Source organism: Homo sapiens, chromosome 14 (assembly GCF_000001405.40).
Source record: "Homo sapiens chromosome 14, GRCh38.p14 Primary Assembly".
In the NCBI taxonomy this organism is placed as follows: Eukaryota; Metazoa; Chordata; class Mammalia; order Primates; family Hominidae; genus Homo; species Homo sapiens.
The window spans coordinates 36,829,651-36,854,156 of NC_000014.9; the positions used below are offsets into that span (position 1 = coordinate 36,829,651).

The 24,506-nt window shown below is 38.9% G+C and overlaps 1 protein-coding gene and 1 long non-coding RNA gene across 5 annotated transcripts in view; one reads left to right on the forward strand and one right to left on the reverse strand.

The window, feature by feature from the left end:
• The window catches only part of SLC25A21 (solute carrier family 25 member 21), a 494,686-nt gene that overhangs the window by 151,730 nt on the left and 318,450 nt on the right, over positions 1-24,506 (reverse strand). The gene's annotated exons all lie outside the window — the stretch shown is intronic.
• LOC107984668 (uncharacterized) lies at positions 19,292-22,655 on the forward strand. Its single transcript, XR_001750716.2, has 3 exons — positions 19,292-19,454; positions 20,294-20,371; positions 22,525-22,655. It is a non-coding gene; the product is annotated as an uncharacterized LOC107984668 (long non-coding RNA).

Consider the following 24,506-nt stretch of genomic DNA (forward strand, 5'->3'; position numbering starts at 1 on the left):
AACCATATCACAGTTACAATTCTCTAGGAGGTTATCCTTGGGTCAGCTGTCTAATGCTGGTTCCCTTAACCCATGTCCAGGAGATAAGGACATCACGCAAACGTGCTACCAAGCCCAACCCCTTCAGCAGAGGCTGAGTGGTGGTGGCTTGCCAAGGAGGACATTTGCAGACACTTCAAAACAAGTGGTGTGCAAATAGTACACCTTCATATTTTCTGGTAAAACTTTCCCTCTTTTCACTCCTCCTCAGCTAGATGACTGATGTTGTCTGCTGTTGCATTTTTTTTTTCTTCTGGTGGATTGCTTCACCACTGAGAGAGCTGACTATTGCTTTCTACACGACTGTGTATTGTGACCAGTGAATATTTCTAGTAAAACACCATGCAGAATCCAAGTTATTACATTTAAAGATGAAAATGTTTGTAAAAACAATAAGAGAGAAACCATAGAAATAACCACAGAATCAGATTTTCACCACATTACTTCTTAGGCGGAAAAAAATCTTTGTACCAAACGAATTCATTAGATATGTCATAGAGTATTGCATCCAAAGAACTAATCACAATTTACTCTTTCACATTTTTTGAAGATCGTTCATATTTGTTTTACTGGCATTAGTTCACAGCAAAAGATGCTACCTAAGCACCCATCTGGATGAGAAATTATTACTCCACACATCCCATCACTGTTATTCAGTGTGAAAAGTGCCTCATTCGCGGAAGTGAGGAGGGTTCAGTAAATTGTCTAACCTAAGGTGTAACAAAGATTGTGTGAATATCCAGGGACAGAATCCAAACATTCCATTTTAAGAGCTTTTTTTTTTCTCTAATTATTGTTTCCTACTACACTACTAAGTCTTTGGTGATAACACATGTATCCTTTTTCTTTTTTCAGGGAAAGGGGTACTAGACATCAATCATATTCCTCTCTCTGGAAAAAGACAAAGTGGAAGAAAATATCTATTTTCACCCCACTTAGTTTTAAGTTGCATGTTGTATGTAAACTGTCATTAAGTTTGAGTATCAAGATATTTATTTTTCAAAATTAATATATTCCTAAGGCCTAGTACTGCTGCCCTTCACCACACATAGAAACCCACATCATCCCCTCCTCAATATCCCATATTACCAATTTCATGGCTTGGGATAGAGAAAAGCTTAGATTTACTAGGACTTCATCATGGGATTCAAAGTGGCAGAGGGTTATCTGTTTTTAAAAGTCATAGGTTGATCAAATGGCCCCAGTTTCCCCTCTCTCTCAGCTCCCTGCCAAACCCAGCACACACACTTGCACAGCTAAAATCAGGGAAATAAGTGTGTTTAGAGATCAGGCTAAAGCCTGATTTTATTTACCCAGATTTCTAGCAGATATGTAGATAGCAATTTATATTTGTTTTATCATGTTTTTCCTAAACAATGACTACATACAAAATATCATTAAAATAGCACTAGAGCTTTGAGTAAAATCCATAAAGATTTAAGACTGCACTGTCCAACATGGCAGTCACTAGCCACAGGTGGCTATCAAGCAGTTATGTGGCAAGAGCAGCTTAGGAAATGGATTTATTTCATTTTATTTTAATTAATTTGATTTAAATTTAAGAACTAAAGAAGGATAAAGTATTTTTCCACTAAACATAACTTCATTGTTTTTCTAGGACTAGATTTTACTTAATCATTGCATCCTGTAAGACACTGTATTGTAGGAAGCTGTACTTTGTACTTTTAAAAATGTGGCTATTAGCAAATGTAAAACTATATGTATGATTCACATTATATTTCTACTTAAAAGCTCTGGTTGAAAAGCTCTTTAAGGCTAAAATGCTAGTATTTCTGTATATAGCTGTACCCAGATATATGTAGCATTATCAGGGTATATGGGGAGACTTCTCTAGTACATAGAGTAGGTATTAGAATTAGGGAAGAATCCTGAATTTACAAATTCAGTTCTCCTCATATAAACTTGGTGACTGACTGTACAGTCCCACGTTACTTCAGTTATTAATATAAGTTTAAAATAAAAAAGGCTCCACAGCAAGATAATTTTATTATGACAGCTTGGAACTGAAAAGATCAAAATGCTTCCTTTGCTGTTTTCTTCAAACATTCTTTTATAAGATGCATCGAACCTCAGAATGAAGATGTCATGCCTACAAATCTAGCAAACTGTTCTAAGAAATCGAAAATGGAGTCTACTGAATTAAATTTCAAACCAAATTAGGAACATGGAAAAGACTCTAAAATATACAACATTCTTTTCCTTCGAGCTATTTTAGTCACAGCAGAAAAGATCAGTGTAGTCTGTTCCAAGTATAAAATTTTAGAAAGATCAATACATAGATATGCTCAAGTCATTTCCATGCATGTGTCTTTGTTAGTTTGATAAAAGTGAAATAGAATCTTCCAAACATAAGGGACTGTCAGTGTAGTCTTAAAGAAAACCAAATCCTTCAGTGGAAAACAGAAATGGCCGGTTTCTCAGGACAGTACCAGAGAGAAGCTGGAGCTGTTTGTGGAAAGAGACAGTGACTTGAAAATCACCACCAGAGTATAGTGGAAATCAAAAAGTATGTTTTTCTTCCAAATCAACCTAATGATTCTACAAAATAATATATATATATATCTTCATTATAATGAGTTATGAGTTATAACAATGATTTGAGATCTTCCCATATAAATTTTATGCCTCTTTGTTTTTCCCTAGACAGGACAAGAGACAAAAACTGGAAAGTTTGGGTCGTATGGATCATGGCAGCACTGCAATGTCTGGAATTTTCTCATAAATATCCTATTGCTTTGAGGCTCACGGGCCTGACTAAAACAGCAGGGACAATCTTTTTTGCACTTTTATAGTTGTAGAGGGATTTTCAAGAGTTAGAACAATTTTCCATAATATTCCATATTAATTTAATGAATCTGAAGTGTGGTTATTACACCTTTTCATGCTTTCTGCAGGCTGATGATTTGGAAGTAACTAGAAAAACAAACAACATTATAAACAAATGCCAACAGGAAGACATTCTTGGGTACTCAAAAGAATCTACTTTGCAACAAAATTTTATTGCCTGTTTGCAGCTTTATGCCTTTTTAAGATTATTTTTTAAACACTATAAATGACTGTTTCTACCCTTGTGAAAATTATCACTTCAAAGGGACATCTTTTAGCACTCTCTATAATGACCCAAACAAATCTCAGAAAACAAAGTGGATTCCACCCTTTTTTGTGATTAAGCAATAAAGAATATTGTATCAGATTCTATTTGTACTTCATTAAAATAAATTCTCATTGTTTATCAGCATTTAAATAATTTCATTTTGCTTAAAATTGGAAAAAAAACCTGGATTTCATTAAGAGGTAAAACTTCCACAGAAGTTCATTATGGTTAAATTTTCAGTCTATCTATAAAGTGCATAGCAAGCTATATCAGGCATTAAGGATACCAAAAAGAGGATACACAAGGAAGTTTAAAAATCAGAGGTAATGAGAAGGGAATTCAAAGTAAATACACAGCACTATTAAAATAAATTCTATATATATACACACAGAGAGAAAATAAATAAACGCTTAGAGGACATAGGATATACCAACTGAGTTGATGGACGATAGAATAGATGGGGTTAAATGGAGAAAACTAATTTGAAGCAGTTCCCTTGTGATGCCAGGAAGGCAGCTTCTGGGGCAGTGAGCAAGGTGCTCCCTGGGTAGAGGGGAAGTTCAACCAGCACAGAAAAGGGCCTTGTTAGAGAGCTTTAAAAGGAGAGATGTATACCTCAGTCAGGGCTGATAACCTTTTTCTAAGAACTAAACTTGTGATCTTTAAACGCTTAGGAATAATGTTGTAGAAGTTTAGAAAAAATGTACCTGTAGACTCAAACAGAAGTAAGTACCTAAATAACAGGCCAAAATAAGAGTAAATTATCAAATAGTTGATGTGTATCTACTTAGGAAAGGGCACTGGCTTCTACTGAACTTGGCTCTGTGAGGAGAAAATTGTGCCAGACCAATTTAATTTCCTCTCCTAGTACAGGGACAGGTTATGTCCCACCAACAGGAAGCAATAGTAAAAAGAATGTTACAATAGGTCAGCCATGAGAACACCAAAATCTGGAATGCAAATTTGATAAGGGATTTGACAAGGTAAGGATATATGCGGGTACAGCTGTGCTTCTTCTAAAAGTCCAACTTCCCCTATTGAAAAATTACTTAAACTTGTGTCAGGTAGACAGCAAAGCAGTAGGCAGACATCTAAGAAATGTGCATGGGCTGGATTAAAACAGAAAATAAGATATATTGCCTAAATTCAGGAGACTCTTGATTTCTTTGAAATATCTAGAACTAAAAAATTCTGTAAATTCTAGCGTACACCTATCCCCTACCTTTGGACCTTTTGGTCATTTGTCTCACAACCATCTTTTAAAACGCTATAAGTGAAGGTGTGGATTAATTTTGTAATAGTGCAGCAAAGGGAAATAATAGCAACCTAAGAATATAGTAAAAATAAGTCATCATGATGCACATAAATAAAACACGATTAGCAAGAAGATCACTAATATTCTAAACTGCAACTAGGTAAACTGCAAAGACCTCTTGTATATTGGAGGGAAAACTGACTTTCGATCAGGCAAGGTTTTTGTTGCTTTTTCGCATCTTTTTATCTTTTCTTAGGATTAAGTTCTGGAATATGGTAGAAATAAAAAGGCTTTGGAGTCAGACAGACCTGGGTTCAAATCCTGGCTATGCCACCTACCTACTGCATGAACTTGGGCAGGAGATTTAAGCCTTTCTGTTTCTTTATCTGAAAAAATGATACCTACTTTGCCATTTGCAATGAGGATTAAATGAGATAATGTGTATAAAATACTTGGTACCTTGGTACGTTGATTTCTCAGTAAATATTGGCTTCCTTCCACACCTTTCTCAATCCTGACCTCTCTCCCCACTTCTCCCTCCCAACTGCCCTTACACTTTGGAAATAAAGATACAAGAAAAGGCTAAGAATAAAGCCCTGTCTTGTGAAACAGGAAAAGGGACACAGCCTCACTTCCTTTTACTCTTGTTAAAGGTTTTCTGACTCTACAAGGAGCCATTCACACTGGTTTGACATTCTCATGGTGCTTCCCAGTTTTTCCATGTCAAATGTCAATGAGATCAACGAAAGGGCCTTTTTGTCAAGTGACATTAAAAAAAAATCTTTTCCTAGATATATTAGGTAAAGAATAGCATAAACACAAGTATGATCACCAACAAATGGTAACCCTATTAATGCCTAAAAAATAGTCATCCCACCATGTTGGGTTTACAACTGCAAATGTGAACTGGGAAATCAGACTTTTTGTTCTTATAGATTTGTCCAGTTTTCTAAAGTAAACAAAAATCAATTTCCTAGCATGGTCTATAACATCTCGATAACAATTTAGCACCCATGCATAAAGAAAGAGTCAGGGATTATAAAATCACTTAGAATGTATTATTTCTAGACTGAGCAGACATAAGTCTTTGAGGATTAATTTCATGCTGAGGGTTAAATTTCACTTTCACGATAGGCTAACCATTGCCTGAGGCTGCACAGATAATGAACCTGCCAAGGGATTAGCAAGGAAACACTTGTGTTATTATAAAGTGGGTACACTTCCCTTTCTAACCAAGTTCATCCTACATGACATTAACAAATTACTCCCTCTCTCTGCCCACATTTCAATATAATGTGAGCCAGCAAGTGACCCTGAACCAATAGGACACGAGATAAGATCTTCTCAGTGCATGAATGGCTATTAAACTTGTCTGAGAGAGCTGGACCTCCTGCAGGGACACACAAGGCATTTTATCTCCCTAGGGCCCCTGCCTGGGCTGCAGAAACCTTTCATTGGTCATAAAGCCTCTAAATGGCCACAAAGCCAAAAGGTAAGGAAGTCTTAACACAAACGTTTAGCCCACAGAAGAGGCACTCTCCCCAAAACACAAAGGATACAATTCATTTTTTACAAACACACAAGGACCCTAATATCTTCTAAATAAGAACTTAATGACTTAGCATTTGTGAAAATATAACATGTTCAGAGAGATTTCTTATATTTCAGATAAATATATCCTGTCCTCAACAGATTTTTCCTAAAATAATAGGTATGTTCAAGGATGGCAAATCTGCTGGCTTTTTCTCCATCTTCCTTCTCAGAGGGCCAGCTTCTCCTACATGACCAAAAGTAGATCCTTTCCTGTGGGGTGGACCCTCTTTCCTGAGTGGCACTCACCATTGTCTTCCTTCAAATATGGTACCCAGCCACTTGTCTTATTTTCATTCTTCTTACCTTTGGCTCCCCTCCAGAGTTGGACCAAATATCTTTCGCTGAGTGAACAGTCAGCTACTATTGTCAAAACTGAATCTACCTAGTATTTCCATTTGGCAATCTCCCTCCTGACTCCACCGTACAGTGTGGGGCAAAGATAATTTAACAGGTATGAAGAATATGCGGCCTGGTTATCTAGGAAGTTATAATTCGGAAGTGTTAAGTATAAAACGGGAGTGCTCTTAAAAAGCTGTACTGCTATTGAGTGGCCAAACTGCTGCCCAAGTGAGAACAGCTACTTCTGTTGCTTGCTAATAAGCAGCAGGTGGAGAAAATGTAGACTAGTCAGGAAATCATTGGCATTTGCTACAACCCAACATGGTTCAAACCAGGAATCTTATAGGAAAGCAAAATATAGTTTTCTTATGATATATTAGTGCACTTCTGTTCAAAATACTGTCTTGTGATGCGTAAATAATGCTTTTATAAATTCAAGGTTTTTCTTGTCAGCTTGAAGCCTTTAGAATTGAGCCCATGGTGTCTTTACATTTCAGGTATATTATCAGACTAATAAAGTCTATTGCTCTGTACTTAAACGTGTTGATAGCTAACATGGAAGCATTATGTAACAAAGGTGGATGGATGTGAGTGTTGATCTCTGGGCTCTGCAACACTGAGGCACTCCATGAGCCCACGGTTGAGAAGGCAGTTTCAGTAGAATGGTGGAGGTAGGCATCAGGGTACCTAGGTAAGAAAATGAGCAGGTGGCAGAGAAAATGGATATAGGCAGTAAATGTAGCATTCTTCATCAAAAAGTTTGTAGTTAAGAAAAGGGAAGAAAGGCAATGGCAAGATAACAAGGGGGAATTAACAGAAAGTTTTTCTTTTTGGTTTTGTTCTAAGAGATGCAGGAGATGAATATATTTGTAGTTAGAGGAGAAAATCAGATCAGAGGAAAAACTGAAGGGGAAGAAGAGATAAAGTAAATTATAGAGGAGTAGGATTAGGAGGGACTCATCTTAGAAAAGAGACCGGATACACCCTCTTTAAAGGCAAGACTAAAGAAAAACAAGAGAAGGAACACAGACTTTGAGCCAGAGTTGAGGAATTTTAAGAAAATGGTGTCATATGTCCCCAGTTTCCTTAGTAGACAGGAAGGCATGCCACCTGCAGAGTGATGGGAAGGTGTGTGGCTGGAGGCTGTGGTGGGAAGGAAACCTAGAGAAGCCACGGTGGGGAGTGAGGTGGGGACTCACCAAGAAATTAATGACAGGTTTTGCCAAGATGCAAGGAGACTGGAGAACACTGAGCTGGGGCTAAATGTTACTGAAAGGGCCAAGGGGGTGTCCAGACTGAGACCCAAGTGCAGTGAGAAGGGAGTGGAGCACCAGGAGAAGGAGGAGGTGAAGGGCAAGCCTGCCGAACAGTGCAGAGGAAGTGCGGCACACACACGAGAGGGGACCAGGGCAAGACCAAGCAGAGGGGATTCCAAGAAGGGGCTGCGTTTAGGGTCGCTTTGCCAATACAGAGCACAGAGAGGAAGGCCAGGGGAGGAGCAACAATTGTGAGGACAAGAGGTTAGGTGATGGGTGACACTGAGGTTGAAAGCCTGGTGATGCTGCCAGAGAACAGGCCCTGGAGTCCTTGAGGGCTGTGGGGCCATGTCCAGTCAGTGATGCAGGCTTGGCGAGCAATGGCTACAGCTGGAGTAAGTAGGGCTGACCTAGGCTGGGATTGGAGAGCTCAAGGAAGCAATGACACCTTGGCTTTGCAGTTCCTTGACTCTCTCAACACCATACTACACTCCTACAACTCACTTGTATAGCTAACGCTCAAACTCCTCACACTGAAAGACTTCCCACTCCCATGATCTCAGACTTTGCCTTGTTGCTGTCTTGCCCCTTTACTTTTACTGGTGAATGAGCTCTCCAGTCCTGTGATCCAGTGTCCATTACTGACTCTACCTCCCAGTGCCGGGACAGCAGGGTCTGAAGATGGACTCCACACTTAACATCAGCACCAGGAACCAAGTCATCACCACAGAGCCCGTGGAAGTGATTATAGCTACAGGTTTGCTGCACCTTCCCTGTGGAAGACTGATGTGGGCAAGTGCTTTCATGGTCATGGTCCTTGAATCTTGTACCGGAAACACCCAGGTCAATCATGAAGGGAACTGAGTCAGAGTCAGGAGGTGAAACGTAAGGAAATGGGGCTGGCCAGAGGCAGGCACAGTGCACACGGCTGCCAGGGCCTCACTCGGCTTTCTCCTCGGTGTGAGGATACGGGCTTGCTGATATGGAGTTCAGCTAGAGAACAGAGGGGTCACATGTCTGTACATATTTTCTGCCTTCGTCTGGAAGAGTGAAATAAGCACACTTTATAAAAGAGCTGTAGTACAGCACGACACCTTCTCAAACACCAGTGCTGGCAGCTACCTAGTCCTATTGGGGTCTTTGTGAAGCACACTGGGACACACTGCACCTGCTTTTCCTGTGTGTGACCACCTAGCTTCTACTAAGATTGTGTATCTTTTGCTAAATAAATTGGGACTGCAATATGGACTTACAGAATGTGACTTCATGGTCTGTTCCTGCCAAGCCATAGCCTACTTGAGCTAATATGCCTGGGGTATGCAGAACAGGATGCCAGAAAGATGGCCTGGGCTACAGAAAATCAACGTTAGAGACAGGAAAAAGTGAATTTTGTGGAGGCAGGGAGTGGGGGAAATGTTGATTATGACATTGCTTTGCCTGAAGTCTAGGCTACAGTATCACAGAGCTACTACTTGGCACATTCGCCAATATTTCTGTTCATGGTAACGTGAAATGATGCTTCCCTTTACAGTTATGGAGTGGAAAGTCTTAATTATTTCTTAGTAGTCGCCAGTAGAAACACACCTTTCTCCCTTAATAAGAATTTTAGTTGGTTAAGTACATGATGCCAGTACATCTACCAGCCTCTTAATGGAAATTTCAAGTTGTTACAAGGTTAGTATCATTATCTTGTTCAACACCCCAATTAATGTGGAGTGTGCATTCCACAACCTGCCAAAAAGCATTTAGCTGAATGAAGTTCTTTAATCTACATAATTACTATCTACTACATTTACTCTATTTTTATTTGATGTTTCTTTTAAAGGAGTCACTGGAAGTTTATCCAAGATGACTTACTTACAATTATTTACCATTTTCCATATGAAGGTTATTAAAATGTAATTAAAGTGCATTTACAGTCAATTATGACAGACTCTCATTCAAATAATAGTGACAAATTGTATTAGAAATCCTCATAGGATTAACACACTTAACTCATCTCTGAAACCAAATTTCAGAAGCAAGTAACATTTGCATTTGTATATTCTAGGGGGCAATTAAGAAACATTCATTCAATATCTACTATAAGGTGGGTATTGTTTCTAGTGAACACAGAACTGTGAACATACCAGTTTCATTTAAGTAATGGACTTTATTTTGACTGTTAAATCATCTCAGTAACTGAAATATTGGGCAAAAGGGACTAAATTAACTTTCCTATAGTTCGATTTAGTAAAACGCCACACTATAGCATTAAGTGACACTCTTGCTCTAAAAAATTATTTTGACATATCTGAAACTACTTTCTCAATCTGGCTTTGAATCCAGTCAAATGGAGACAAGTACAATTTGCAGAAAAGGTTCCAACACAAAAGGAGATGTGTATCTTGGAGATCAAGGCTTATCTGCAGTCATGTTACTTAATGATGGGGACATGTTCTGTGAAATGCATCAATAGGCAATTTCTTCATTGCACACACATTTTAGAATGTAATTACACAAACCATGATGGTAGAGCCTACTGCACATCTATGCTATAGGGAATAGCCTATGGCTCCTAGGCTACAAACCTATTCAGCATGTTACTGCTGGATATTGTAGGCAATTGTAACACAATGGTAAGTATCTGTGTATCTAAATATATAAACATGGAAAGAAACAGTAAAAATATAGTATTATAATCTCATGGGACCACCATTGTATAAGTGGTTAGTCTTTGACCAAAACATTGCATGACTGTAGCTCACTTCTGGGAGGTGGTCAAAAGTTGGTGAGAAATGGATGGCAGCTTGAGGGGAAAGAGATGACTCAAGCCCTACATTCTCCCACAGCAGCAGCACACAGGTGGCCTTCCACAGGGAAACCAGAGCTCACGGAACTAACTCCCGGAGAACATTCTTTGATAGGCTTCATTATCATATCTCAGAGTAAAACTGAACTATGGTTAAGAATAAAAGCGAGGTTTTTTTTTTTAAACAGTATTATTTTTATCAAATAATTATCAAAGGTGTCATTGGGAAAAACTCATATGAGTCAAGCCTTCAGTGTGAGTAGAGGGAAGAGACTTTTTCCAATTGAAAACAAAAAGAAGAGTTTATTTCAACCACAAATATATTTGTCCTTATCTTTTGAATGAATTGTTTCTGCAGCAAAATAACTGTTATGTTATTCCTAGTCGGAATTATCTTTTATCTACCAAAGGTTTCAGTTTTCTCAACATCATTAAAACAAAAACAAAAACGTTTCCCCCAAATGGGTAACCTGAACAAATTCCTTACTAGTCTCACTAATGAGAGCAGAAGAATCAGTTTGTTTTGGACAGACTTCACTCATACAAACTTTCTTAAAATGTATCATCCTTCAAATGGCTTGATAACATCGATTTCCTTAGACTAGGCTTTGAACAACCAAATGTTGCTATCTAAAAGTTTTCCCGTTTAATATTATAAAATGGAATCATGTAACACACAAGCTTCTTAGTCTTTCTAAATTTCAGTAATTTGTGACTTCCAAAATTTGTAGATGAATAACTTTTCAATAGCTCTGATATCCGACGAGTCAGAAGGAAGGGAGGAAGAAATAAGAATGCATGGGACATCACGGAAAAGAGCGGCAGCTGCTATATTTGTTTTTCAGGGTTTTAATGCTGGTTCTACCACTTAGCTCTGTAACCAAGAACACTGCCTACCCACTCTGAGTCTAAGCTGAAGGACAGAATAAAAATATGTACAGCAATATGTCTGCCATAAATCAGGCACTAAATAAATGTTAATTATTTTTCTTTTTGAAATTTTGAGTAAATGAAATTTCCTTTTCTCCTTTTATGACAAATCAACCCAGATAGCCTTGAGTTTCTTGGAGTATAACTGAAGTATCAACATGCCCTTAGTTTGTCGATTACATGTAGTGTGTAAGGATTTCAAAAACATCAGTTGTCTGTCTCATTAAGACATTATCCTCTTTTAAAAAAATCTACCAAGTATGTTCCAACTGAAAAATACACAGAGCTAAACACAAAAGTATATAATTCAGGTCTCAACACAGTAGAAATAAATCTGGAGCTTCCAATTCTATAAGAATTGCTTACAACTTTTATTACATGTATCTCTTCTATCCGTTCTTTAGAGTTCTTCCTCAAATGTACACAGTCCTCCAGAATTCACAACTCTTACCTTGAGGCCAAGGCTCCACTTAGTCTGCCAGGCTAGAAACCTCCGAATCCTCCTGCATTTTTTTCCCCTTTCTTTTCATTGCTCGATTATCACCCATTGATCTTCCTTTCAAACATCTTTCAGATTTGACATTTCCTCTCCACTTTCACTGATTTCCTAACACAGGATCTGCATTAATTCACAGCTGTGCTCATTGGTTGACTCCAGCCTCTTGACTTACTCCTGTGTGCTATCAATAGTCTTCCTGGTGTGCCACTTCCGCCTATGCATACCTTGCCCAAGAACGTACGGTGGTTCCCTATTGCCTAGCCCATCAAGGCCAAACACGTGCCGTGGGCTCAACAACCTCCAAAATCTGTCCCCATTGCAACTATCATGTTAGCTCTCCTCCAACCCATACTCCCTGTGCAGGCAAGTGAGGCCAAGGCACTCACCTGCAGACTACCCTGCTCATTTCTTCCTCTGTGCTTTATTTGTGCTGTTTCTGCCTCTTGGAAAATTCTTTTTACCAAAACTAAATCTAAATCTTATGCAAAGCCAGAAACCTTACCTGAAGATTTTGGTCCCCTTGCTTCTCTAAGTTCCATCTAGATTAGTGCTAAATTCTCTTCCCATGTTTCCACGTGGTTTGCCTCCTTAAATTAACTGTAAGCTCACAGTGGATGAGGCAGTGTGGGAGATGTGTCCTATTTGTTTATGTATTCCCCCAGCCCAGCATCTGTACACAATAGACATCTGATTCAATGATAAACTAACAGACGCTAGCACATAGATTCTTAATTGCTTTCCAATTTTCTTTCTCCTCTTCTGCCTAACCAATTCCCTGATTTTACCTGGGGCAATGATATGCCCCAGGGAAAAATGCTACATTTCTCAACCTTCTTTGTAACTTGATGAGGTCCTCGCAGAAATAATTAGGTGAGCCTTCCAAGAGATGACTTTAGAGGGGCTGATTCAGCTGAGAGACATGTTCTTTTTGCCCTGCCTGCCTTCCTTGTACTTCCTGCCTGGAAGCTGGATGTATAGGTGGAGTTCTGGCAGCTATTTTGCACCATGAAGTGACTTTGCAAAGTCACAAAGGCTACAGAAGCCATAAGACGGAAGGAGCTTGGGTCTCAAATGATACTACAGAACTAAACTCCTGGTTTATTTGTGAAGGAGGTGAGTTGCCTATTATTTGCAGTTAAACAACAATTTCTAACTTATATTGGTGCCAATAAAGAAGGAGACTTGAATGTAAGGTGCCATAAAGACAGGAGAAGATCACCACCTTTGATATAAGCAGGAAAAAGAGAGAGTAGGGAAGGTCTGAAAACTGGGTAGAAAGACATGATGGCATTTCAAAGGGAACACCCACATGGCACTCTCATCCTGGTGCCACAGAAGTGGAAACTCAGACTGGGGAGGCAGGAGGATGTGTCTATGGCAGCGGTCCCAAAACTTTGTGGCACCAGAGACTGATTTCGTGGAAGACAATTTTTCATATGGATGGGGTGGAGGGTGGGAAGGGGCAGGAGGGTTTCAGGATAAAACTGTTCCATCTCAGATCATCAAGCATTAGTTAGAGTCTCATAAGCAGCGTGCAACCTAGATCCCTCACAAGCACAGTTCACAATAGGGTTCATGCTCCTATGAGAATATAATGCCACTGCTGATCTGACAGGAGATACAGCTCAGGTGGTAATGCTCATTCACCTGCTGCTCATCTCCTGCTGTACAGCCTAGTTCCTAACAGGCCACAGACCAGTACTGCTCCCTGGCCCAGGGTTTGGGGACCCCTGAGTGAGGGGACAGATGCATGAGATTCAGTCTTCTCCATCGTGCCAGAGAGGGAAGAAACTGGATTGCCAGAAGATATATTTGGCAATGGGTTGGAGCCTGGCTAATATAATACAGAAATCCTTGGTTAAAAAAGTCCATTGTCAAGCAAGGACATGCATGACAGCTGACAATTCAGGGGGAGGATCCTAATCAGGTAGGTAGCTAGTCAGTGTATTCACTTCACCTACCTTATTTCTATTTTGTTATTAAAACAGTCCTACAAGGTAAATATTATAAATCTCATTTATAAAACTCATCTAGAGTCATCAATTTTTAACATTTGCCATGCATTTTTCTCTTCCTCTTTCTCACTCTGTATATCTATCAATACATACAGATACATAACATGACAATATTTTGCTGAATCACTTGAAACTAAGTTGAAGACATCATGACACCTCATCCTAAATACTTCACCATGTCTCCTAAGAGTAAAGACATTAACCAACATTACCAAATGTTGTCACTTCATTCACGAAATTGATGAAATGCTATCATTTCATTCACAAAATTAGCATTGGTACACAGTAATTTACCTAATGTTCAGTACACATCCAAATTTCCCCAATTGTCCCAATAAACGTGCTTTGTAGTTTGTTTTTTGCATCCAGTGCAACATGTTGCATTCAACTGTCATATCTCTCTAGTATCTCTTCATGTCAGAGAGATCCCTAACCTGTTGTCTTTCAAGACATTGACCTGTTTGAAGAATGCAGATCAGTTATGTATAAAATCCCCCACATTTGAATGTGACCCCCCAAAATGCTTCCTTACCATTTTGTGTGTTGAAAGATAAAAAATTGTGTTAGGTGATGTGTGCACTTTTCAGTGTGTCACATTAGGAGGCACGAAGCCAGCCTGTCTCAGTTTAGGTGGGCATATAGGCAGACTTTAACACGCTACAGTACTAAAGTCAGCTGTTTCAAAGGCATCTAATTTATGAGCATGCTAATCCAGCATTAATCAGGTTAGTAACAATTTACTCAGCATTCATTTTCTTGTCACACTGTAAGAACACATCCTACCTAATTTACAGCTCCCCTTCAATTACAGAAATAAGAGTGAAATTGTCTGACAATTTGCTCCCACTCCTGGTAACGTGCTGGCACAGACTCACTGCTGTTCCCTTCCCCTGCCCTTGCTGGAAGCTGGGCACAAGTGAGTACCAGCAGTGCTAGCAGCACACAAGGGGAGAATCCAGCAAACCAGGTCACATAAAACTGGATTATCCAGAGAAGGTGAGGTATGAGGAAGGAAAAAAAGACAAATCTGAAACATGATTCCCTGGGCACTCAATCATTTCCATTTTATTTTACCTAATGAGGCAGGAGTTAAAATGTTGACCTGATCAGACTCAGATGGAAGCCTTAGAGGAGTGGGACCCCCCACTGCCCTCCTGTCCCAACACCCTTTGTTACCTCCAAGTGAGCTGAGACCAGGCTGTGAACCATGTAAATAGAAGGCTTCCAGGTTAATGAAAAGCTTCAGCACCATTCGAAAATCTGGACAGAGGGTCATGCCGGATCCTAATCCAAAGAAACTTCATGCAGCTCAGTAATAAAGTTTAATGAATGCTGGTCATTTTTAATCATGAGCCTGAGAGACTGGCCAAGGGCTAATAGTTTCCTTACAGAATCTCTCCTTTAGCTGGGACACAGCAAGAACTCTCAAGCTGCGTGGGAAGCCAGAGGCGTACATGAAATGTAATATTCCATATGCCAAAATCCAAGGGGAAGTTTTTGAAAAGGGCAGTAAACATTTCTTGCAAACTGATGTTTTTATTAGGTGATGGCATGCTTTGTGCTGCATTTCATTAATTATCTGCAAAAGTAACTTTCTTTCAACGCCATGTCAGAGTTGACCTACTGCCATCATGTAACACGGTATAAAGCCAGGCTGCAAAGTAGCTTCTCCATTTTTCTGGGGGCACATATATGTAAGGCAGGCTAACAATTTAACTAAAACTCACCCTGGAAAAATTCACCTCTCCTGAAGAATTAGGCATGGATTTTTAAATATTAATTTTAAAATATGACTATTCTAATTGCATAGGATAACAATATAGAAATTGATGGATTTCTGAAAAAAAGTATGTTCAGAGCATGTGAAAAAACTGGATTGAAAGATACAAAGATCAAATGCTATTTTCATGCACAATGCACACTTTATATCCTTGAGATTCATTGTAAAATACAGTAGAAATGATATGCCAGTAACCTCATACACAGACTTAGATGCCATAAGTCAAGTCATACTCTAAAAAAGTTCTTACTTACACACAGCAGATGTGTAAAATGTGCCAAGTATTGCATGAGGCACTGGGATTTTCAGGAATGCAAAGAACATTTCCACATTTTAAAAAGTCTTAATTCGAACTATTTCAAATACCATTTCTGTAGATGAATATGATCCAATTGATGGACAAACTATCATTTTTGCCTCAAATTCTTCTTTCAACAAATAGGACTTGCTATCAGCTTCCATCTGTTCTTTTAAAACAATTAGCTGGGATTTTAGACATACTCTTGACAGGCAAGTCTGGGAATTCAATGTAAATATGGATTTGAAGATTTATGGGGTGGGATCTTGTGATCGCACACTGGCGCTTCTCCAGTTTTCCAGAGATCATAATTCCTGCCTCTGTTTATTATTCAGTTTACGGTTGGAGTGTAACAGATGATTCATTTTTAATGCGATAAATGTTTGGGGGTTTGTTTGAGGGAAATAAAAGTTTATAGTTCAGCACTGGACATGGATAGTAAACCAGAGTGTAAGGTAATATATTTCTAAAACATGGTGATTAGGATATTTATTTGCTCCTTTATACCCAGAGCTCCAGTGAAGAGTGACTGATAGTGTTTACATTTAAACCCCCAAACCACATTACTTCGCCTTGCAACTTAGTGAACTTTCTAGAAGGAATTATAATTTTCTTAAAAAATTAAAACTTCTACTTTCTAGTTGAGAAAGAATCTATAATTCCTTATATGAGATAGCCTTGACTAACTCTATACGAAGCATGAGAGAATGAGATATGACCAGAACAACGTATTGATATCCCTGATCCATAAGAATCTACAGTCTATGAAAAAAATAAATGCTTAGAAACCCATCATCATTTCCATTATTCAGATTATTTCTATAGCAAGCCAGACTTTTTTTTTCAGTTTTGCTCTTGTCGCCCAGGCTAGAGTGCAATGCTGTGATCTCGGCTCACTGCAACCTCCACCTCCTGGGTTCAGGCGATTCTCCTGCCTCAGCCTCCCAAGTAGCTGGGATTACAGGTGCCTGCCACCACACCCAGCCAATTTTTGTATTTTTAGTAGAGACAGGGTTCCACCATGTTGGCCAGGCTGGTCTTGAACTCCCAACCTCAGGTGATCCACCTGCTTCAGCCTCCCAAAGTGCTGGAATTACAGGCATGAGCTACTGTGCCCTGCCACAGCAAACCAGACTTTTAATTTACATATCTGTCCATCCATCCATTCAACAAAAGTGTGTTGAATATATAGCAAATGTCAGACACAGGTCTAGTCCTGGTGACACAGGAGTGAACAAGACAAGGTCTGTGGCCCACTCAGTTTGCATTCCATGGAAGGAGATGAACAACAAACAAGCAGGCAAATAATGTACACGGGTCTTAGTCTCTTTCCACAATTCCCAAATCCAAACACTCAAAAAACTTCCAAAACTATGATTTTCTCCTAAGTTTGTGGAAGACTCATTTGGTGGCAAAAGCTTACCTGAAAAGAAGCGTGGCCTACTTGTAGTCTTTATTCTACTCAATGTGAATGTTTATACGTCTAGCCGCAGAATTATTGATTATGGGATGCTGCCCCAGATGCTGTTGGGGTCTTTTGTAACATACATGATGAGTGCACCATATTACTTTTTAAAAATACAAAATATCTGAATTCTGAAACATATCTGTCCCCAAGAGTTTTGGTTAAGAAATTTAGGTCTATATACCATAACATCAGACAGTGAATGAATGCATGGTTGAATGGGTGAGTAAACAGATGTTTAGAATTATTTTTTTCAGGTGAATTAGATAATTCCATTAAAATACCCAGCCATCAGAGATGTAAACATTTTTCAATGTCTACAGCCTAAAACTAGGTTATTTGGCAGTTACTGGCCCTAACAGTCATTGGTTCATTTTTTAGAAGCAACTGTCTACTGAGGAGGCTAAAATGAATATGTCATAGTTCCTGCCTTTGCAAGCTACAGTCTAGTAGGGGAAATAGACATGAAAACAGAAGAATGTCACACACTGTGATAAACGCCACAATCACCTTATTCTGCCTGGGAGAGCCAGGCAGAGGAGGTGATATCTGAGGAGCGTTGAAAGATGAGGAGGTGTTTGCCAGGCAGAGAAGGTGAGAGAGGACCCTCTGGGAGGTGGATTTCTATGTTCAAAGGTTCCTAGAATTTGAGAAGGGCGTGCCATGTTTGGGGAAAAGGTGAGAAGGTCACTGTGGCTGCAGCAGAGGGTGCCTGGGGGTAAACAGCTATGAGGTGGGAAAGACTGGAGTTGTAAGAAGGGCTGCCTGCAGCCTTGCAAAGGAAGTTGGACATTTGTACAGGATGTTTCTAGGCATGGGAGTAAGTGAACACTCAGCCTTTTACTTTGTTTCATTGATAATTTCAGGAAAGTAACTCTGGAAGCGGTATGAAGGCTGGGCTTGAATATAGACCAACAGTGGAAGGGGGGCCCTAAGGAAGAGGTGATACACACTGAACAGAGGCAAGGGCAGTGGGGATGAGAAGGCAGATTTGGGAAACCCCGAATGGCGTGGTGACCAACAGATGTGTGCAGTGAGGGGGAGGGAAAAGTCAGGGTGGAGAGAACCAGGTGGAGAAAAACACCACGAATTGGGATAATCATAAGGTGCTGCTAAGTATTACCCATCAGCCTCTAGATGTTCTCTTTTTAGGTTATCACCCTAACTCAAAAGTCAATGATACTCTGTCTTACACAACTGTGGAACCTATTCATAAGGCACAACAAGATTTTTAAAAACATTTGTACTTAGGGACTTTCCAATGGGACAGGCAAAAGAATTATACGTTATGTATATTCTCCATACTGTCAAGGCTCAGATTTGTTTCCAGTGTCATAAATCATCATAATTAACAACCTTTCAACCAAATGGATCCCAAAGCACTTTCCAAATTATGCAACTTTGGAGGTGAATTGCCTCAGCTGTCCAACAGCTGTCAGCAGCACTCTGCAACAGGGACTGAGCAAGAGGGAGGACGCAGATTCTCCACGGAACTCTTCGCAGCATTTAGGTTTGTGGAATGCAATTCCCCAAAATGGAGTTTGGCCCAGAGCAGGGTCTCATCTACTCTCGGTAGAAATGCAGTAAAGCCATTCTTATCCCTAAATGATCAGCAGATTTCTCTGCCTTATAAAATATATCTGTGAATGGAAATTAATACTAGTCTTGTGCCTAGGAAGATCCATTACATATTTCAAATTACATTTCTTTGGCAATGACTTATTTAATAATTGATAAGGGGATGGTGGTTTCAAGCAGAACCTCATTTCCTGTTCACATATTAAGAGATTAATAAACTGTGGAATTAAGTTAAATCAGGCTGTCTGGAATCTCATGTGCTAAAATCCACTCTGTTTTGGTCTAAGTTTGGGTTTTTTGAGGAGTTGTTTTTGCAACCTGATAAAATTCTGACTTTCCATCTCTCGCCCTATTAGTGCAGGCCCAGATGATTCATGGTAAACTTTCCAGGATATTCTCTTAATTCTGTGTTGTCCAACTAAGGAGTACAGGGGATCTGCAAAGTTGTAAAATCAAGGTGGTAAAGATTCTTGGAGCTTCTAATATATTCAAAAGTTTGAGGTAAGTACAAAAATTGATATCTTATGGCATGTGATTTAACATTAAAACACACTTTAAAAATAAAATGTGGGAGTTTGAGTTTGCTATGGGCTGCTTGGGGTACATCCCTAGATAACTCTCCTCTGATTTCTTCCTGTCCTATATGCCCATCTGTATTTGTTCCCCTTTCGCTTGATACGAAGAGGACTTTGGGGGATGATTTTATGAAACACTTCCATATTGAGTACTTTTTGGACAGCAGAGGAATGAATTACACGTTTGTGAAATGACACCCTGATTCAACAAATCCGATGTTAAGGAAAAAATCCTGATGAAAAGGGCTTATATATTTATGTTTCATAATGAACAAAAACTATCACTACTAGTCTGAGAAAAATTCAAAACAATCTAACTCCAGTTGACATAAATTATTTTACCGAAACCCTCCTCAAGGGAAAAGAAAGAACTTATTTCCTTTCATAGTTCGATTCAATGAAATACAAATTTCTGAATTGTCTATCAGACACAAAATGCTTAGCTAATAACTCTTTAGTAAGACAAGGTGAAATTAGATAGAAATGCCATTTCTAAAGCTTGAAGCTGTGCCAATATTTGAGACAGTCTATCTAGATCTCTGGTGGCCCTTGAAAATCAGTTACCCACTGCTTATTTCCTGCTAAAACTCATGCTAGAACTGTAATGAATTCATTAGAACCTCTCATCTTGCTCACTTAAGTTTTCAGAATCTAGGACTTTGACTTCTAAAAATGAATTTCTTTACTTACTTTTAGTTACTCATTAACTCACTGTTAATTAATTAATTAATTAATATGCCTATTCAAATCTTTATCGTTCTCCAGCTATGTGTCAGTCCCTGGGGATCAAGTGAAGGAGGTACAGCTTCTTCAGTCACAGACTGTCTTGTCATGTGGATACAGGTAAGTGAACAGGTAATTGGCAATACTTTGTGTGTGAAGTGCTGTGATAAGAGAAAATTTAGGGATGGGGTGCATATAGTAGCATCCCTTCCAGAGGAAGAGATGTATAAAGGGAGACCTAAAGGATGAAGAGTTGGCCATGGGAAAGGGGAAGGAGTGAGGTAGAGCAAACAAGCTTTTCATACATGCTTCCAATCATATCAATTCATATTTGCAAAGAAGTAATCATTGCAACCAATAATTGACTCTTTGCCAGAAGTTGCAGGGCACTTTACATATATAATAGTATGTGATAAAACTATTCTATGAGGTAGATATGACTTCCATTTTACAGGTTAGAAAACTGGAGATCAGTCAAGTCACACTGAATCAGGATTCAAACCCAGGCTCGTTTTGCTCCAAAGCTAAAATTTTTTTTTATACACACTAGCTTGCCAGGTATAGAAAGCAGGGCAAGAAGGTAAAAGAAAGGTCCCATCCATGGTCTCTTAGAAAAAAGGCTTATGATCCCAGAAAGTCACTTAATCAGACCTCAGATTTGACTGTCTTTTCTTTCAGTCTTTCAAAAATGATGTTCACCAGCATTGTAACCATCCTGGAAAAGTAGTTGATAGTCCATTACATGTTATAACATGTTATTTTCTCCATATTACCTCTACTCTACCAGCATCTAAGATCTACAGATCTCTTGATCTGTAGCACAGGGCACGAAAGCCTGACTAAAGTCTCCAAATGAATTTTAACACTATCCAGCCAAGAAGAGCAGGGATTCAGCATCTATTTAAGAAGCAATATTTTGGTCTTGATTATGCTCCGTCCAACCCCATCATTCACTACTAGAAATTCAGACTTAATGCATAATATAGGGAGTGCACACAGGGACCACGGCTGGCAACAGAGAGTCCTTTCTTCTACCTATTCTTTTCCTCTACTGCAAATGTTAGTCCTGGAAATGGTCACTAAAGATTATGACATTCTACAGTCTGCCTGTTTAAGCGATACAATTCAAGATTTTAAAGTACACTGTATGCTCTGTGCAGGGAATTGCTTGGTATCTCTATTTAAAGGAAAATATTATTGTTATGAATAGGCTTCAGATGCTGGAGTCACTAATAGTTAACTAAACTTGGTATTTTTTTATGCCCAAAATAAAGTATGTAAGATAACCTGGGAGCCATATGTGTCACATGATTTGTTGGGGCCCAATCACACCTAATTTCAGTGGCTGAAGAAAAAGAGCCAAGCAATTAAGGGAGAGTTTGGTGAGCTCCTGTTCAACCGAGGACGGAAACCTGCACAGCTGGAGACAATTCTGAGAAAATTGATCAGAATTCCTTTACCTTAACAAGATGCTGGCTAACAAGTTGATACACATGAGTTTCTATAATCAGGCAGCAAGAATTTAGGAACCCAGAAACACAAGTCACCTTGGAATATTCAATAGCTCCAACCTTTGTCATTTTAAGGAGCAGGGACACCTGTTAGCTTGGGATAAGGCAGACTATTTTTATGAATAACATAATATGCTTGGTAACAAAATGTTATATCCAGGTGTTGGGAGAATTAATCAATTGAATGTGGCTGCTTATAAAATAAATTGACAATAAGCTACACAAAAAATGGGGATTAGAAAAACTGCAAACTATTACTCTCAATGGCATAATGTCTGGGTATTCAAAATGTTGGGTCTCCTGTTTTTTTGTTTGTCTGTTTTAAAGACTTAAATTTTAATGTGTGTTCTCCAAATGAGTAGTTAAGCATTTTCACTGAATTGCTAATCCCCAGAACCCTATGAAAGGTTGCTTGATACACACTGATGTTTGCTTGCTTGCTTGCTTGACAGTATATGAACACATTCAAAAAAGTCTTTTGCTGGGACAGATCAGCTACTTTAAGGAGGTTTTTCTAATTTCTAACTAATGAACATGGGACTCTGGAAGGGTATCAATCATATTAAACATCTGGAAGAGTTAATGAAAACACCATTACATTATTTTTAAAATAATATAATTAATCTACATACTTCCATCCCCAATCTTATGATTATTTTTGCAGTTGTAGTCTTTAACTTCAAATCCAAAAAGTACTGGGAACATACCCTTTCTGATCCAAATGAGCATTCTATGTATCATTTTCTTTATTGCATGGAGCAGGAAAGACCTAACAAGAAAAAGGCATAGCCAAAATGCAAAACCACCTACCTACACAGAGAACAACAGCATAGTCTGATCTGTTTCCACCAGCCAGCAAAAGTGAACCTGGTAAGTTTACTTTAGCCTCTAAACCTGCTTCCTGGATTCTACATCTTTTCTTAACTATACCATTGCTATTTGGGGGCTGAGGGGGAACAGAACAATTAGACACACCTGGTTAAAGTGTCCTGTGCCCTGTTCACACTTCATGTTGTATCTTAAAGTGACAGCATATTAAAATGTCAATGGAATTCCTAGGCATTATGTGGCTATCACAGCTGAAAGTATAATTATAGTTCTTAGCCTACGGAACTAGATTCCACTCATTTCAAGGACCAGAAAGTAATATATAGTGTGAAATATGTAATTTTCACAAAATTATAAAAGGTTAGAAAAATGAAGTGTACCTTCATGTAATCAAAAATTCTTATTGGCGTGTGTGTATGTGTGAGTGTGTGTTTATGTGTGAGCATGTGTTTAGAGCTTGGTCATGGTATTCTTTGGAGTCTACCATCACATGTTAGGCACAATACTTAAAATTTTGGTCAAGAAAAGTGTTACTCTAATAGTTCCAAGACAAACACACAGCTGACCATATTTAGGTTTAAATATATATATTTAAAAGCCATACAGGAAACACTACTAAAATTTTACGTAGAAACTTAATATACTGAATTTGAATATAATAAATATCATAAATGTGAAATGGAATCAAATTGCTTCCATGCACCGAAACAGGAACATTTAAAATCTGCTAGAACTTATGTCCCTGGTAATAAGTTGTGACATTACATTCTTATTGTGAAAACCAGGAGTGCTTGCAAAATACTTGCACTATAAGCTTGTCTCAGTAGCCAAAATAAAACAGAATATTACTAAGGAATTTGGCACTAAGACCAAAACAACAACTGTTCAAGGGGGAAATGGGATAATTAAATTGTTCATTTGAAGACTGTAATGATAAGATATGAATCACATATGCTAGATAAGTGTTTTGGCAGGGCCATGCTTCCACTGACATCTCCCAAGGACAATCCTAAAGTTGCAAAATCAGAGGAGCTGCCCCAGTGAATGCTGTACTTAAGTAAAGCATTTTACAGCAGATTGTCTGAACGCTTCTCATCATAACACTACACTACTGCAATTTGTCAACCTCTTATAAACAAATGCTCAAGCTCTCTCTCACATAGGAGTATGGTTGCTAAGACACACTCTGCTTTTTTAATCTGAGCATTTGTTTCTAACTTCTAGAAATCATTTCCTAAGCTGCTAGGCAGACCCAGGACCAGCTTGATTGCCTCACCTCCCAGGACTCCTGCTACCAGCCCGGGTCATCAGCTCCCCGTTCCTGTGAGTGGCCTGGCTGCTCTCTCACACCCAAGAGGCCCTCTCCTCAGCCCATTTGGACATGTAAACATGCGCTTACTCTACTAAATAGTTGGTTATACAGAAAAACATGTTTTGACGGCTGCAACTGCTCCAACTTGGCTAGTCTTGGTTCTGCTGGACCAGCGACAAATGCCACAGCTTTTTAATGGTCTGACCCCTGGGACTTTCATCAGCCAACACCCTATTTATTTAGAGGCCTCTGTCCTCTGAGACCCTCCAACAAACACTGCTGCATTATGCATCCAGTGCTTTTGTTCCACTTGGATTAGAGAGCACAGTCCATCTAGTCTCTTATTTTTCCCCCTTCTATATAAAAGTAGGTAGGGTGAAAATCTTTTAAACTATAGAAACCAGAAGTATATGTTTAAGTGTTAATTTTAATTCAGGTTTGACAACTAGTAGATCCATGTGACCTGTGTACATTTAAAGCAATATTTAAAGTTGGGATAGATCATTCCTTCACTCCCTCCCTCACTTATTCATTCAGTTACCACCTACAGAATATCTATTTGATACCAGGCACAGTGCCAGATACTGGGAGTGCAAATATAAAT